Source organism: Homo sapiens, chromosome 1, assembly GCF_000001405.40.
Source record: "Homo sapiens chromosome 1, GRCh38.p14 Primary Assembly".
NCBI lineage: Eukaryota > Metazoa > Chordata > Mammalia > Primates > Hominidae > Homo > Homo sapiens.
In genome coordinates this window covers 67,231,680-67,249,732 of record NC_000001.11, presented here as the reverse complement: position 1 = coordinate 67,249,732, position 18,053 = coordinate 67,231,680, and the positions used below count along the sequence as shown (strand labels likewise).

The following is an 18,053-nucleotide window of genomic DNA, read 5'->3' as shown; positions in this document are numbered from 1 at the left end:
TAACCCCCAAATTTTGGATGCTACAGAGGGCCCTTGGAGCATCCAAAGGAGAGGTAAATAGGATTATCTGACATGTTTAGTTACATGGGATTGTCAAAATAAAAACAATGTTTAATCTTCTTCAGGTTAAATAATATTAATATATGTTCCAAAATTGTATAGGATTTCTAAAATTCTAATGTCTGAGTATATCCTTTCAATCATAATTAAGGTTATTATGTTAATTTATCACAGACCACAGAGATAACCACATTTCCTTGTGAATTGTGTTTTTAAATATCACTGTTTAAAGTCATTACATTAAGTTAATTACTTAATGCTAATGCAATTTCTGAAAACTTCACAAACACGGAAAATCCTAGAATATGGTATCTTTTAGAAAGTTCATGAAAGGATAAAAAGGATGCTAAAAAGCACTCTTGAATACAGGTTTCTAATAACTTTAAATTCGTATCATTTAGACTCGGTAAGAATCCCTAAAACTTTAATAAAAAGACTAACTGGTTTATAAGACTGCTAACCAAAGTAGAACAAAAATTAATTAAATACCAAGAAAATACTATGCCAGATTTTCATGCTAAATCAGCGTGAAAAATCAGCATGCTGGAGAGCTGGCAAGGTGGCTGAATAGGAACAGGTCTGGTCTGCAGCTCCCAGAGAGATCAACGCAGAAGGCGGGTTATTTCTGCATTTCCATCTGAGGTACCAAGTTCATCCCATTGGGACTGGTTGGATAGTGGGTACAGCTCATGGAGGGGGGGCTGAAGCAGGGTGGGGCATCGTCTCACCCAGGAAGCACAAGGGGCTGGGGGATTTCCCTTTCCTAGTCAAAAGAAGCCATGACAGACTGTACGGGGAGGAACAGTATACTCTGGCCCAGATACTGTGCTTTCCCCACGGTCTTCACAACCAGCAGATCAGGAGATTCCCTCCGGTGCCTGGCTCAGTGGGTCCCACCCCCACAGAGCCCAGCAAGCTAAGATCCACTGGCTTGATTGGGAGAAACCAGCACAAAAAAGCTGAAATTTCCAAAAACCAGAATGCCTCTTCCCCTCCAAAGGATCACAACTCCTCGCCAGCAAGGGAACAAAACTGGATGGAGAATGAGTTTGATGAATTGACAGAAGTAGACTTTAGAAGGTGGGTAATAACAAACTCCTCTGAGTTAAAGCAGCATGTTCTAACCCAATGCAAGGAAGCTAAGAACCTTGAAAAAAAGACGAATTGCTAACTAGAATAACCAGGGTAGAGAAGAACATAAATGACCTGATGGTGCTGAAAAACACAGCACAAGAACTTCGTGAAGCATACACAAGTATCAATAGCTGAGTCAATCAAGTGGAAGAAAGAATACCAGAGATTGAAGATTAACTCAATGAAATAAAGCAAGAAGACAAGATCAGAGAAAAAAGAATGAAAAGAATCAAACAAAGCCTCCAAGAAATATGGGAATATGTGAAAAGACCAAATCTATGTTTGAACGGTGTACCTAAAAGTGACAAGAAGAATGGAACCAAGTTGTAAAACACATTTCAGGATATTATCCAGGAGAACTTCCCCAACCTAGCAAAACAGGCCAAACTTTAAATTCAGGAAATATAGAGAACACCACAAAGATATTCCTGGAGAACAGGAACCCTAAGACACAACTCATCAGATACACCGACGTTGAAATGAAGGAAAAAATGTTAAGGGCAGCCAGAGAAAAAGGTCTGGTTACCTACAAAGGGAAGCCCATCAGACTAAAAGCAGATGTCTCAGCAGAAACCCCACAAGCCAGAAGACAGTGGGGGTCAATGTTCAACATTCTTAAAGGAAAGAATTTTCAACCTAGAATTTCATATCCAGCCAAACTAAGCTTCATAAGCGAAGGAGAAATAAAATCCTTTCCAGACAAGCAAATGCTGAGAGATTCTGTCACCACCAGGCCTGCCTTACAAGAGCTCCTGAAGGAAGCACTAAACATGGAAAGGAACCAGTACCAGCCACTGCAAAAACATACCAAATTGTAAAGACCATTAACACTATGAAGAAACCGCATCAACTAATGGGCAAAATAACCAGCTAACATCATAATGACAAGATCAAACTCACAGATAACAATATTAACCTTAAATGTAAATGGACTAGGCTGGGCACGGTGGCTCATGCCTGTAATCCCAGCACTTTGGGAGGCCAAGGTGGGCGGATCACCTGAGGTCAGGAGTTTGAGACCTACCTGACCAACATGGAGAAACTCCATCTCTACTAAAAATACAAAATTAGCCAGGCATGGTGGCACATGCCTGTAATCCCAGCTACTAGGGAGGCTGAGGCAGGAGAATCCCTTGCACCTGGGAGGCAGAGGTTGCAGGGAGCCAAGATCGTGCCATTGCACTCCAGTCTGGGCAACAAAAGTGAAACTCCATCTCAAAAAAAAAAAAAAAGTAAATGGGCTAAATGCCCCAATTAAAAGACACAGACTGGCAAATTGGATAAAGAATAAGACCCATCAGTAGTGCTGTATTCAGGAGACCCATCTCATGTGCAAAAACACACACAAAATAAAGGGATGAAGGAAGATTTACCAAGAAAATGGAAAGAAAAAAAAAAGCAGGGGTTGCAATCCTAGTCTCTGATAAAACAGACTTTAAACCAACAAAGATCAAAAGAGACAAAGAAGGGCATTACATAATGATAAAAGGATAAATGCAACAAGAAGAGCTAACTATCCTAAATATATATGCACCCAATACAGAAGCATCCAGATTTATAAAGTCAGTTCTTAGAGACCTACAAAGAGACTTAGACTCCCACACAATAATAGTGGGAGACTTTAACACCCCACTGTCAATATTAGACAGATCAGCGAGACAGAAAATTAACAAGGATATCCAGGACTTGAACTCAGCTCTGGACCAAGTGGGACCTATAGACATCTACAGAACTGTCCACCCCAAATCAACAGAATATACATTCTTCTCAGGACTACATCACACATACTCTAAAATTGATCACATAATTGTAAGTAAAACACTCCTCAGCAAATGCAAAAGAATGGAAATCATAACAAACTGTCTCTCAGACCACAGTGAAATCAAATTAGAACTCAGGATTAAGAAACTCACTCAAAACTGCACAACTACATGGAAACTGAACAATCTGCTCCTGAGTGACTACTGGGTAAATAACAAAATGAAGGCAGAAATAAAGATGTTCTTTGAAACCAATGAGAAAAAACACACAATGTACCAGAATCTCTGGGACACATTTATAGCAGTGTGTAGAAGGAAATTTATAGCACTAAATGCCCACATCACAAAGCTGGAAAGATCTAAAATTGACACCCTAACATCACAATTAAAAGAATTAGAGAAGCAAGAGCAAACAAATTCAAAAGCTAGCAGAAGACAAGAAGTAACTAAGATCAGAGAAGCACTGAAGGAGACAGAGACATGAAAAACTCTTCAAAAAAATCAATGAATCCAGGAGCTGGTTTTTTGAAAAGATCAACAAAATAGATAGACTGCTAGCCAGACTAATAAAGAAGAAAAGAGAGAAGAATCAAATAGATGCAATAAAAAATGATAAAGGAGATATCACCACCAATCCCACAGAAATATAAACTATCATCAGAGAATACTATAAATACCTCTGTGCAAATAAACTAGAAAATCTAGAAGAAATGGATAAATTCCTGGACACATACACCTTCCCAACACTAAACCAGGAAGAAGTGAAATCCCTGAATAGACCAAAAACCAGTTCTGAAATTGAGGCAGTAATTAATAGCCTACCAATCAAAAAAAGTCCAGGACCAGACGGATTCACAGCCACATTCTACCAGAGGTACAAAGAGGAGCTGGTACCATTCCTTCTGAAACTGTTCCAAACAGTAGAAAAAGAGGGAATACTCCCTAACTCATTTTATGAGGCCAGCATCATTCTGATACCAAAACCTGGCAGAGACACAACAAAAAAAAGAAAATTTTAGGCCAATATCCCTGATAAACATCGATGTGAAAATCCTCAATAAAATACTGGCAAACGGAATCCAGCAGCACATCAAAAAGCTTATCCACCACAATCAAGCTGGCTTTATTCCTGGGATGCAAGGCTGGTTCAACATAGGCAAATGAATAAACGTAATCCATCACATAAACAGAACTAATGATGAAAACCACATGATAACCTGAATAGATGCAGAAAAGGCCTTTGACAAAATTCAACAGCCCTTCATGCTAAAAACTCTCAATGAACTAGGTATTGATGGAATGTATCTCAAAATAATAAGAACTATTTATGACAAACCCACAGACAATATCATACTGAATGGACAAAAACTGGAAGCATTCCCTTTGAAAACCAGCACAAGACAAGGATGCTGTCTCTCCGCACTCCTATTCAACATAGTATTGGAAGTTCTGGCCAGGGCAATCAGGCAAGAGAAAGAAATAAAGGGTATTCAATTAGGAAAAGAGGATGTCAAATTGTCTCTGCAGATGACATGACTGTATATTTAGAAAACCCCATCATCTCAGCCCAAAAACTCCTCACACTGATAAGCAACTTCAGCAAACTCTCAGGATACAAAATTAATGTGCAAAAATCAGAAGCATTCCTATACGCCAATAACAGGCAAACAGTGAGCCAAATCATGAGTGAACTCCCATTCACAATTGCTACAAAGAGAATAAAATAACTAGGAATACAACTTACAAGGGATGTGAAAGACCTCTTCAAAAAGAACTACAAACCACTGCTCAAGGAAATAAGAGAGGACACAAACAAATGGAAAAACATTCCATGCTCATGGGTAGGAAGAATCAATATCATGAAAATGGCCATATTGCCCAAAGTAATTTATAGATTCAATGCTATCCCCATCAAGCTACCATTGACTTTCTTCACAGAATTGGAAAAAACTACTTTAAATTTCATATGGAATCAAAAAAGAGCCCACATAGCCAAGACAATTCTAAGCAAAAAGAACAAACCTGGAGGCATCACGCTATCTGACTTCAAACTATACTACAAGGTTACAGTAACAAAAACAGCAGGATACTGGTACCAAAACAGATATATAGACCAATGGAACAGAACAGAGACCTCAGAAATAACACCACACATCTACAACCATCTGATCTTTGACAAACCTGACAAAAACGAGCAATAGGGAAAGGATTCCCTATTTAATAAATTGTGTTGGGAAACTGGCTAGCCATATGCATAAGGCTGAAACTGGATCCCTTCCTTGCACCTTATACAAAAATTAACTCAAGATGGATTCAATACTTAAACATAAGACCTAATAACCATAAAAAACCTAGAAGAATACCTAGATAATACCATTCAGGACATAGGCATGGGCAAAGAGTTCATGATGAAAACACTAAAAACAATGGCAACAAAAGCCAAAATTGACAAATGGGATCTAATTAAACTAAAGAGCTTCTGCACAGCAAAAGAAACTATCATCAAAGTGAACAGGCAACCTAGAGTATGGGAGAAAATTTTTGCAATCTACCCATCTGACAAAGGGCTAATATCCAGAATCTACAAGGAACTTAAACAAATTTACAAGAAAACAAACAAACCAACCCATCAAAAAGTGGGTGAAGGATATGAACAGACACTTCTCAAAAGAAGACATTTATGCGGCCAACAAACATATGAAAAAAAGCTCGTCATCACTAGTCATTAGAGAAATGCAAATCAAAACCACAATGAGATACCATCTCATGCCAGTTAGAATGGAGATCATTAAAAAGTCAGGAAACAAGAGACGCTGGCAAGGCTGTGGAGAAATAGGAATGCTTTTACACTGTTGGTGGGAGTGTAAATGAGTTCAACCATTGTGGAAGACAGTGTGGCAATTCCTCAAGGATCTAGGATCAGAAATACCATTTGACCCAGCAATCCCATTGCTGGGTATATACCCAAAGGATTATAAATCATTCTACTATAAAGACACATGCACATGTATGTTTATTGCAGCACTGTTCACAATAGCAAAGATTTGGAACCAACCCAAATGCACATCAAAGATAGATTGGATAAAGAAAATGTGGCACACATACATCATTGAATACTATGCAGCCATAAAAAAGGATGAGTTCATGTCCTTTGCAGGGACATGGATGAATCTGGAAACCGTCATTCTCAGCAAACTAACACAAGAACAGAAAACCAAACACCACATGTTCTCACTCATAAGTGGGAGCTGAACAATGAGAACACACGGACACAAGGAGGGGAACATCACACATTGGGGCCTGTCAAGGGGTAGGAGGCTGGGGGAGGGATAGCATTAGGAGAAATTCCTAATGTAGATGACGGGTTGATGGGTGCAGCAAACCACCATGGCACATGTATACCTATGTAACGAACCTGCATGTTCTGCACATGTATCCCAGAACTTACAGTATAAGAAAAAAAAAGAGAAATCCGCATGCTAAATCAGCCAATACTAAAATTGTTTAGATATACAATTTGAATAAACTCCATGATCTAAGCCAAATTACCTATGATAACCCATCAGTTATCAGTGCTATGCACCTAAATTGGAGAAACAACTGGTATTCAAGAGGACATAAGTCCATTTTTAAGCATGGACTCGTGGAGAACCAAGACAGCCACCTTATCCTTCCAGAGTCCTTAAGGCTTTCATTATTAAAAGTTCTGCATTTTACGACTTGTAATGGAAAAGATAAAATGATCCAAATTAAATATGTTTGTGTGGTGACTTATAAACTACTAAAATAGTTATAAACAATATTTGGCTTGTCAAACCCATATTCCTGGGAAAACAATCAAAGCTTCAGGTACATTTGGCTACCTGATTGGACATTTAAATATTTATAAGGGATTTCATTCAATTGTCACTTTCAATGCATGTTTTCTGGTTGTATGAAAGCTTTCCCATGCAAGAAGACTGATGTTATAATAGTAGATTATTATGCTGCAGTACATTTTTACATAGTTAAAAAAAGCTGTTTATGGTTCACTGAGGACAATCAACCCCTTCACAATCTAGAACCCAAAGAATGAATCTTCTGAGAACATTAGAGAAAGACTGTCCTTGCCATCCACACTACAGCAAAACTTTGGGACCTTGAACTTTTGGTTTCAGAGATCCCACAACTTTCATAATCTCACAACTGAGGAGGGTCCCTCCACACCCATCGGAACCCTTAAGGTAAAGCTAACCAGGACAGCTTCTCCCAAGAAGACAGCGTCCTTAATGTGAACAGCTTATCCTAAAATCATGGATTAAGACTTCTCTACTATCATGAGACTCTTAACTTTGAATATTTTTTTTCTTGCTTATGCCTCTATGAACAATAGAAGTGAAAAGGGGGTCTGTTATGTGTGTATTATGGGGTATATGTTTATTTGTGAAGGATTTTGCAGCCAGCCTTATACATGGATAATGTTATACTTTGATGGATAAAAGATGAAGGCCCAATGCAGGTGAGAAATTTTAAGGGTTCATATATTGCCTCATAGTCAGTCAGAAACAGAACATTGATTCATTCCTCTTAAGCCACATCATGGGCTAAAGAGAACATTGCCAGGAGGCCTTCACTCTTCTAGCAGGGCATCATTTGTTAGGTCTTTTTTCCATAGTTTGAAGTAAAAGAGGCACTGATTAGAAATGTATCCCTCATGATAGGTTCTATAGCAGATTCTACTGTAAAGCCTATGGTTACACAAAAAACTTTAAATTCTCTTGTGAAAGTTATGCGAAATAATAGAATTGGCCAAACCGAAAAGTATTGGCTAAACAGCTGCTGGCACTTATGATGTATGGAGAAAACATCGGGTATTATAGTGATTCAGTTGTAGGGGATTAATGAAAAAAATCACTTAAGTGAGTAGACTCTTCATGTAGCTCATTCTTTGATCTATTTGATTTTTAGATGGTTTGGTTTGGTTTATGAGGACCCTGGGTAAGGAACATAACCCAAACTCTTAGTATTATTCTCCCAATAGTCCTAATAGTAATCTCCCTGGTATGCTGTATTCTCTCAAAGGTTTTAAATGTTTACAAGCAGCCATCTCCAGAATGTCAAATGGTCTCTCTTCAACTGGAATAACAAGAGCTAAAAGAAATGTGTGACCATCAGGACACCATAACCTATGAATTACATGCTGAGAACAGAAACCCAAAATGATGGTAACTGAGAGTGGCACTGAGGCCCTAGGTTTTGGTCACACTGTCACCTAAGTGAGAACCTGACCAAAAAGGGGGATTTTTTTTTTAAAACGAAATTATGGGAGGCCATTGTTTTGGACTGAGCTCATGCACTAGACTCCAACAGACCAAACCAAACCAAAATGGAGTTGTTCATGCTAAATGTGACAAAGTCAAACTAAGACTTTAAGGAAACACATAGATCCTAGAACAGACCAGGTTTTGTTTTTCTCCTATAAACAGGATGTTCCAGCATAAGGAGGTACCTTCTACTCAGTCCTTGTTGCCACCTTACAGAACCCACTGTTCTACTGTTTCCCAGTGGGTTTAAAGACCATATAAGTACATTTACAATGGTGATAGTGACATCAATGACTAAAGTTTTGGTCAATCTCTCAAAATTGAGAAAATCACCAAAAGGGGGGAATTATTAAAGCAAACTAAATATGATCTGAGAAGGACTCCATACTTCTATATTCAAGTCCTTGTGGATGAACTGTAACCTAGCCTAATAGGCAGACAAGATTGAAAACCTAACTTAGTAGTATGTGCCCGTAACAATAGCTGAGTCTTGGCCAATCCCAGCAGCCATACTCCAACCACTCATAGACTGCTAAGTGTTCAAACTGTGTTCAAATAAGGCAAATGCCAATCCATAACCTATCCAGCTGTTTCTGTACCTCACTGCCAATTTCTATGTGTCACTTTTTTTTTTGTCTATACATTTGCTCTGACCACAAGGCAACCCTGGAGTCTTTCTGAATCTGCTGTAATTCTGGGGGCTGCCCAATTCGCACATTCATTGCTCAATTAAACTCCTTTAAATTTAATTTGGCTGAAGTTTTTCTTTTAACACAAGGCAATTTGTGACTTCACCACTCTCAAGAATCTAGGCACTGTAGGTAAATTTGAGGCACAATGGAAAACGCCGTGTAGTAAAGGAGAGAAATGGGCTTTGATATCAGCTGTGTTTGGACTCAGGGCTTACTGTTCAGTGATTCTGGGCTGAGGACTTAGCCTCTTTAAGCCTCATTTAAGTCACCTGTAAAATAGGCCAGGAAGCTTTTCTGGCAGGGTCATTTTGAGGATTAAAGGAAAGACATTTGTAGAGAGTTTGGCATGGGTAAGTACTTATTAAACATTGTTCTTTTTATTTTCCTTTATCTGAATAAAAATGTTAACAGATTTTTCTAGTAAACAACTGAAATGACTAAATTTTGGTGATACATATACATGTAGTCTAAATCAGAAAACAGAAATTCTGCAAAAACCTACCCAGTTCGGAATGATCTGTTAAATATCCCAATCAAAGAAAGAATTGACAACATAACAGCAAAGACGATCATTCCCAATAAAAGTCCAATGTCTCCTCTGTTGTCTAATGAAAGGAAAGAAAAATAATTTTAACCAAGCATTAGTCTTCATTTGATACCAGAATTACTATTCTCTTTACTCTGCTCAAAGCAAAGGTCTCAAAGGAGAAAGGGTGGGGGGAAGCAAAATTAACCTTTACTTTAGGCCACAGAGTGACTGTTTTTCCAGAGTGCACAACTACCCCAGGAAACAACTTTTTGTTTGAGAAAGTTGGGCTACATGTATCTGATGTCAGTGGGTTTTTAGAAGTGCATCTCTGGCAAATGTGGTCGGCTTGTGCATGCAAATTTCGTATAAATTCTTAGTGGTGAGCTTCATTTGGCTTGTCTGACACAGGTGAGAATTCCCAATTGCTGTAACAATGTCTAAAGCTGGTTACAATCATACTGATTTTTTTTAACTTTTTGTGTGAGATAGAATGTGTGCAATTTGTCATCATTCTTCAAAATCTATTGCTCATGAAATTTTTCCTGCTGAGAAAGGACATCCACTTTACTTAGAGCAATATACGTGATAAGAAAGAAATCATACACTGGCAAGTTAAGATAAAAATAAAAAATAAAAAAGAAATCAAAATTGCCTTTATGCTGCACTCACACTTAGTTAAAAAACAATGCTGGCTGGGCACAGTGACTCACGCCTATAATCCCAGCACTTTGAGAGGCCGAGGTGGGAGGATCACTTGAGCTCAGAAGTTTGAGACCAACCTGGGCAACAAAGTGAGAACTCCATCTCTACAAAAATTACAAAAATTAGCCGGGTGTGGTGGCATGTGCCTGTAGTCCCCGCTACTTGGGAGGCCAAGGTAGGAAGATGGCTTGAGCCTGGGAGGTGGAGGTTGCAGTGAGCTGAGGTCGTGCCGCTGCACTCCAGCCTGGGCGACAGAGCCAGACTGTGTCTCAAAAACAAACAAACAAACAAACAAAACCAATGCTTTTCTTGCATGTCAAAGTTGAGTTAATCTCCTAAAATATTTAAATAATTAATATAATTTATTCAACACATATTACCCACCAGGCTCATCATGCTTTCTCCCTGGTACATGAAAAAGCCCTATTTTCAAATATAGAAGATAGTTGAGGCATTACTTATCACATTGGAATTTGTTCTAGAGCCATGTTGGGTATTGGCTTCCCTTCCATCCTCCTTCCTCACTCCCTCCCTTCCTTCAGCAAATGTTTATTGGGTACTTACCATGTGGCAGACACTGTGTTTGCCCCACCCTAGTTATTTCACATACCGGGGTCTCCAGGCTGCCCAGCCCTCTTCTAAAGCCAATCAGCAGGCAGGAGTCTGAGTAACTCTAGCTCACTGCAAAATCTTGATGGGATATGAAATTAATGTTTTCCCAGGGCTAAAGAGCTATTTCTGACTATTTGAAGCAACTAATTGGGGGTACTGGCTGCCACACACCCTTGGGCATTAATTAGTGCCTGGAAGAGGATAGACAGCCCTCAGGTCAACACAGTGCTCGGCAAAGGGGTCTAAGCAGTAGAGCAGAATGACCAAGAGCGTGGCCTGATATACCTGGGTTTGAATTAAACTCTGCCTCTTATCAGCTCTGTGACCTTGGGGCATAATTATGAACTTGCTGAGTCTCAGGTTTTCTCTTTTGGAAAATAGAGATAATAATACTTATCTAACAGAGCTGCCATGAGTTCCTAACCTCCACTGATCCCACAGAAATATCAAGGTGTAGGTAGGTCTGTGTAGGCATCTATAATTAGGGAACTGTACTGAACCTAAGCACTTGGCTTGCAATTGATTGATAATTCAGAGTGCCCTTACCTTTCTTCATGTTTCTTTTTCTTTTTCTTCTTTTTCCTCTTTTTTTTTTTTTTCCTGAGACAGGGTCTTGCTCTGTTGCCCAGGCGGGAATGCAGTGGAGCTCACTGCAGCCTCTATCTCTGGTGCTCAGTTGATCCTCCCACCTCAGCCTCCCAAGTAGCTGGGACTACAGGTACATGACACCACACCCATCTAATTTTTGTATTTTTTGTAAAAATGGGGTTTTGCCATGTTGTGCAGGCTGGTCTCAAACTCCTGGACTCAAGCAATCTGCCTGCCTTGGCCTCCCAAAGTGCTGGGATTACAAAATGTGAGCCACCATGCCTACCCACTTCATGTTTCTTTACGACACTTCACCACCACCTGACTTTTCTTCTTGTTTTGTTTGCTGTTTTTCTGCCCTGTCTGGCTAGAATAGAAGCTCCATGAAGACAGGGGCTTTGCTCATTGTTTTCACTGCTGATTCCCCAGTACCCAGAACAGTGCCTCGTACACAGGAGTTGCTTAATGAATATTAAATAAATGAAGGTGCAAAGAATAGCAATACAACCTGCAAAAGTTCTTATACTATTCCTGCCTGATTTCTACACAAGGAGATAAATGGTCTGTCAGTGGTCAATGGTGAAATAGTCATGCCTAAAAGTTTTCAACTCGAAATTTCTATTTAGAGTTATGTTCACCCATTGTACAACCAGATCTCAATTTTTTTACGCCTAAAACGTTTAGGCAAGCTCATCAATACGATAATAGTCATGCTAACAACTGAAATGGGAGCTGGTTTGTATAAAAGAAAGACAATAGACTCCAGGACATTGAAAGAAAAGGATTTGAATTTTAGTCTGTCACTTAGCAGCTCTATGACCTTGAAAAGTTTCCTCAACTACTCTAAGTTTCAGTTTCCTCATTATAAAATAGATGCGTAACACTTATCTCATGGGTTGTTTTAAAGATTGAAGAAGATGTCTAGACAAGTCCTAGCACAAGATAGGTAAGTAATTTGTTTTGAAAGAAGTTTTTGGGTCTTGAGCCCTAGCAGCTATTAAAATAAAAATGTGGCCAGGTGCGGTGGCTCACACCTGTAATCCCAGCACTTTGGGAGGCTGAGGTGGGTGGATCACCTGAGGTCAGGAGTTCAAGACCAGTCTGGCTAACATGGTGAAACCCGTCTCTACAAAAATGCAAAAATTAGCTGGGCGTGATGGCGGATGCCTGTAATCCCAGCTACTCAGAAGGCTGAGGCAGCAGAATCGCTTGAACCTGGGAGGCGGAGGTTGCAGTGAGCCGAGATTGCACCATTGCACTCCAGCCTGGGTGACAGAACAAGGCTTCGTCTCAAAAAATAAAATAAAATAAATAAAAATTTTAAAAAATGTATACAATCTATTGCAAAAGCCGGCAAAATCCACCTAAGCCACTTCTTACATTCAGTTTTAAGCAGATCTTTGTACTTTGTCTATTATTTTCCTATGGAAGACATAAGGCATATCTTATTGTCCAGAAACTTAACACCTGATGTGATTTTTTCAGTATGATGGGTTAAAATGGGCAATTACTAAAAGACTACTCAAAAAGCCTAAGTTGTATTTTCTTACCAGAAGTAAGGTGCCCTGTAGAGATGGAAGCAACTGTTAGCCCAGAATTCCATGTGTCATGTTGGAATGCTTTTGATGTGACCTGGGGAACTTAAACCAAAAGGAAAGAGTGTCAGTTTCTTACATTTTGCACTCTGCTTGCCAAATTTCCCAACGGAGTTTCTTCCCTTGTTTAGAGATGACTAAAGTAAACCAATAACTTTAATGGGCTTGAAGGGTGGAATAAAAGCAATAGTCTTCGAGTATGTGTCTTTTCTTCTTCTTTTTATTTAATTGGGTAAATCTCAAAGGAGGAAACACTGCAAGGGCAACTATAATCTACCTAGGTTGTAAAACTTCAAGGTGTGTCCACTAATTTCATGAGGCTTCTAGGCAGCAAATACCAAAGAGCTTTATTTTACTGAGCCAGAAAAAACGCATGATAACTAATCTCTATTTGATTCCTTGCAATTGATGGTGCAATAAGGTTCAGATTTCCTTGAGGGTCCCCAAGATGTGTCACTTTTGCCTTTGCACAATCTTTGGGATGCTGTTCACCTTCTCCTGGCTCCTCATAAGAAACCTAATTTTGGTTAGCAGGCACTTTGGTGTTGTAACACCTGGGTGGGATGTCACCAATGACTTCTCTCTGCTCTTTTCTTTTCCTGGCAGCCTGGTCTAGTTATAAAGGCTGTCAGGAAACTGCTAATGAATGATTCTGACCAGGGTGGGGTGAGCAACCCTGGTACCTAACTTTCAGTCTGAACTCAAAGGGGTCCTGGTGCAGCCTTGCCAGTCTCCTCCTTCCTGATAATTAAAAGCTGACAGAAGTGACTTCAAGGACACAATTCTCCCAACTGGCAGAAGACATTTCTGAAGATGGCTCTAAGCCTTGGATCCCTGAGATTGCTTCAAGCCCTGTGTATTCCGTCACTCTGATTTCAGTGCTCAAATTTTTCTTTTAAAAAAATTACTTTTGGGGGCAGGGAGAAATCACAACTTGAGGCTGAGATATCACAGGCTTGTATAAGGAGTAGTGTGGCCCATGTGACTGTCTTTGAGAAAAGTGTCCTACATTTCCAATGAAAAGGTTTCTACGGGGCTTCAGAAATTTTTGAAAAAGGCTGGTCTGGCCAGACACAGTGGCTCATGCCTGTAATCTCAGCACTTTGGGAAGCCAAGGCAGGTGGATCACTTGAGGCCAGGAGTTGAGACCAGCCTGGGCAACATGGTGAAACCCTGTTTCTACTAAAAATACAAAAATTAGCCAGGTATGGTGGTGCGTGCCTGTAATACCAGCTACTTGGGAGGCTGAGACAGGAGAATCACTTGAACCCGGGAGGTGGAGGCTGCAGTGAGTCTAGATCGTGCCATAGCACTCCGGCCTGGGTGACAGAGGGAGACTCCATTTCACAAAAAAAAAAAAAGAAAAAAGAAAAAAGGCTGCTCTGGGTGCAGGCATAAGCGTGAGGAGGGTAGTTTTCTGAGAACAGTGGGTGAGGGATTTTAGAAGATGAAAACATCAGAAAAGCCAAAAGTTATTTCCCGTGTTTTTTGTCCTGGCTTCTCTACAGCAAGAGGAAAATGTTTCACCCGGAATTGTGACAAATCAGAAATTGTTTTTGGCTTCTCAATGCCTCGCTAAGTCTCTTTTGCTCCATGGGTATATGGTTCCACCAAACTCTGAGGGAACAAGGTTATGCCCTGATGGCCAACAGTCAGGTTTATTCATCTAAAGTGCTATCTTTACAGGCCAATGTTCATTTGCAGGGAGCTCAGGCAGGAGTCTGAATCTCCATTATTTTGAAATTTTAAGAATAAAAATACTGGCCAGTTGCAGTGGCTCATGCCTGTAATCCCAGCACTTTGGGATGCTGAGGAGGGTGTCAGGAGTTCAAGATCAGCCTGGCCAATATGGTGAAACCCCATCTCTACTAAAAATACAAAAATTAGCCAGGCATGGTGGCAGGTGCCTATAGTCCCAGCTACTCGGGAGGCTGAGGCAGGAGAATCACTTGAACCCAGGAGGCAGAGGCTGCAGTGAGCTGAGATCACACCACTGCACTCCAGCCTGGGCAACAGAACAAGACTCCATCTCAAAAAAAAAAAAAAAAAAGAGTAAAAATACTACATTAAAAGGTAACACAATTTTCAATTTAGCAAAATCATGGGCTTATAGCATATGCTGCTGTAGTATTTTTGTTTTCACTTTTATTATTTTAAAATTAGCATTTTTAATTTAAAAGTAATATATGGTGTTGTTGGCTTTTAATACAGGTTAATGTAATTCTGTTGTATAAACTACAGGTAGTTATTGGCAATGAAACTTCATTCAGTTATTAATTTGCATCATATAAAAACAATTTTCATATCTGACTAGGGTTTTATTAGCCCTAACAGGGAATAAATACAATCTTCCTTTAGAGTCTATTTGTTATCATAGTTCCAAATCAAACAGGTGCATTAAATTAAAGTCACTTATAAGAGGTGCTTAATCCTCATAGGGAAATTTCACAAGGAATCAGTTATCTAAAATAAGACAATTTATAAACAAAATTGTCAGAGAAGAAATCAAGCCAATGTTAGACATAGGACTGAAACAAAGCTATGTAGATTACATTCTTCATGGAATACTGCCACCACGTGGCTACGTCATTTCTTTTTAAATTATACTTAACATCTTTGACTGTAAAAGCGATAATTAAAGTACAGAAAAATTTTCAACAGGAGAAATTAAAAGGAGAAAAAAAGAACCATCCCTAATCCCATCCTTTTAATCCACCTGCTATTAGTGCTTTATGGTATTTGCAAGTATTTTAACATACAAAAGCATTAGCAAACACAGAATCTCACACACACACACACACACACACACACACACACACACACACACAGCCTTTATGACTGGAAACTGTTTTTTATATCAGTTCTGTCATCAGTGCATTGCCTAATTTGCTAAAAAAAAAAAAAACCTCATGATATCTTACTGTATTTGGTGTTTGTGGTGTTACGTCCATAATGAGACAGTTCCATCCTTGCAACAGAATATTAACTTATGCCTATTAATCTCACAGGACATACTTGAATATACTAAAAAAAATCCAAATTATCTTTAATTTGGGAAGAATTTTTATATAACTTGTACACACTGGCACCAAACTTTAGTCTTACAAGAAGACAATGTGCCTGTGGGAATTTAGAGTGATCTCAAACGAGAAATATGGTTTCTTATTGTTGGACAAAATTTAAAGCATAACAACTATATTTTTTGGCCTACCAAAACACCAGGCTAGTTTAATCAAATCCACTCAAAAGGACCTGGTTTTAGCAATAACGTATTCCATCTGTATTTTAAGGATGATGCCAAATCATCACCTCAGCTCTTCTTTCTACATCAACCGTACTAGTCTGTTTTCACACTGCTATGAAGACATAATCAAAACCGGATTTTTTTTTTTAAGACAGAATCTCCCTCTGTTGCCCAGGCTGGAGTGCAGTGGCATGATCCTGGCTCACTGCAACTTCTGCCTCCTGGGTTCTAGCAATTCTCCTGTCTCAACCTCCCAAGTAGCTGGGATTACAGGAGCATGCCACCACGCGTGGCTTTTTTTTTTTTTTTTTTTTTTTTGGAATTTTTAGTAGAGACAGGATTTCACCATATTGGTCAGACTGGTCTCGAACTCCTGACCTCAGGTGATCCACCTGCTTCAGCCTCCCAAAATGCTGGGATTACAGGTGTGAGGCACCGCACCTGGACAAAACTGGGAAATTTATAAAGAAGAGAATTTTAATTGACTCACAGTTCCACATGTCTGGGGAGGCCTCAGGAAACTTATAATCATGGTGATCGGGGAAACAGGCATGTCTTACATGACAACAGGCCAGATAAGTGCCAAGCAAAGGGGGAAAAGCCCCTTATAAAACCATCATATCTCATGAGAACTTACTATCACAAGAACAGCATGACTGCAACTGCCCCCACCATTCAATTACCTCCCGCGACTCATGGGGATTATGGGAACTACAATTCAAGATGAGATTTGGGTGGAGACACAGCCAAACCATATCATCAACCATGGGGCAAAGTGTGTTTTGTCATCCTTTTAAAGTGACCATTTAATGAGTATTAATTATGTCACAGGTAACATGCTAAACTTTACATGTTTTCTCTCATTTAATCCTCACAACAACCCAATCACACAGACAATATTATTATCCTCATTATACGGATAAGGAAACAAAAGAGTAGAAAGGATAAATAACTTGCTCAAAGTCACCTAGGTAGAGGGTGAAGAGTGGAAATTCCCATCCAGTTCTGACATGTAGTTTGTGCTGGTCACTGATCTCATTAAATTAATAACCTCACTTCCACAGCAGGATGGCTCAGGGTGGGAGGCAGAGTCAGCCCTGCAAGCAGCCTCTCCCAGGATGAGACTTAGCATTGCTCCACTGAGGACTCGCCATGGTGTGTTGGGGCTGCCTGGCCTTGTGGGGCTCTGGACCCCACAAGCCCTACTGTGCTAACCCATTTAGCACTGATGCTTTAAATCTTCTAGCGTAGAGTTATTTTCTTCTTAAAACCGACTACTTTCCTTTATTACACAAGTAATACATGCTAATTACAGGATGCTTGAAAAGTATAGAAGGGTATGGAGAAGATAATACAATTTTATATTTGTTTGCAAACTAGAAACTATTATTTAAAAAAAATGTTAACAGTCTTTTGTGTATGTTGGTAGCCTAGTGGAGATCATACTCTTTATAAATGTTTTGTCTTGCCTTTTTTATTCAATTTTTTTCTTTTGAGACAGAGTCTCACACCATCACCCAAGCTAGAGTGCAGTGGTGTGATCTTGGCTCACTGTAACCTCTGCCCCCTGGGCTCAAGCTATCCTCCAGCCTCAGCCTCCTGAGTAGCTGGAATTACAGGTGCACACTACCACGCCCAGCTAATTTTTGTACTTTTAGTAGAGATGAGGTCTTGCTGTGTTGGCTAGGCTGGTCTGAAACTCCTGACCTCAGGTGATCTGCCTGCCTCAGCCTCCCAAAGTGCTAGAATTACAGGTGTGAGCCACCACACCCAGCCTTATTCAATATTACTTAATAAAAATTTCCTCATTTTATTAAAAATTGTTCAAAACATC

At 39.6% G+C, this 18,053-nt stretch overlaps 1 protein-coding gene across 4 annotated transcripts in view; it reads right to left on the bottom strand.

Annotated features, from left to right (window-relative positions):
- The window catches only part of IL23R (interleukin 23 receptor), a 127,267-nt gene that overhangs the window by 16,171 nt on the left and 93,043 nt on the right, over positions 1-18,053 (bottom strand). For all 4 annotated transcript variants that reach the window (XM_011540790.4, XM_011540791.4, XM_047447227.1 and 1 more), the window contains exons 8-9: positions 12,931-13,020; positions 9,452-9,554 (exon numbers count right to left, since the gene is read on the bottom strand). In XM_011540790.4, the coding sequence (XP_011539092.1) occupies positions 9,452-9,554; positions 12,931-13,020 (193 nt within the window). The remainder of the gene's footprint in view (positions 1-9,451; positions 9,555-12,930; positions 13,021-18,053) is intronic.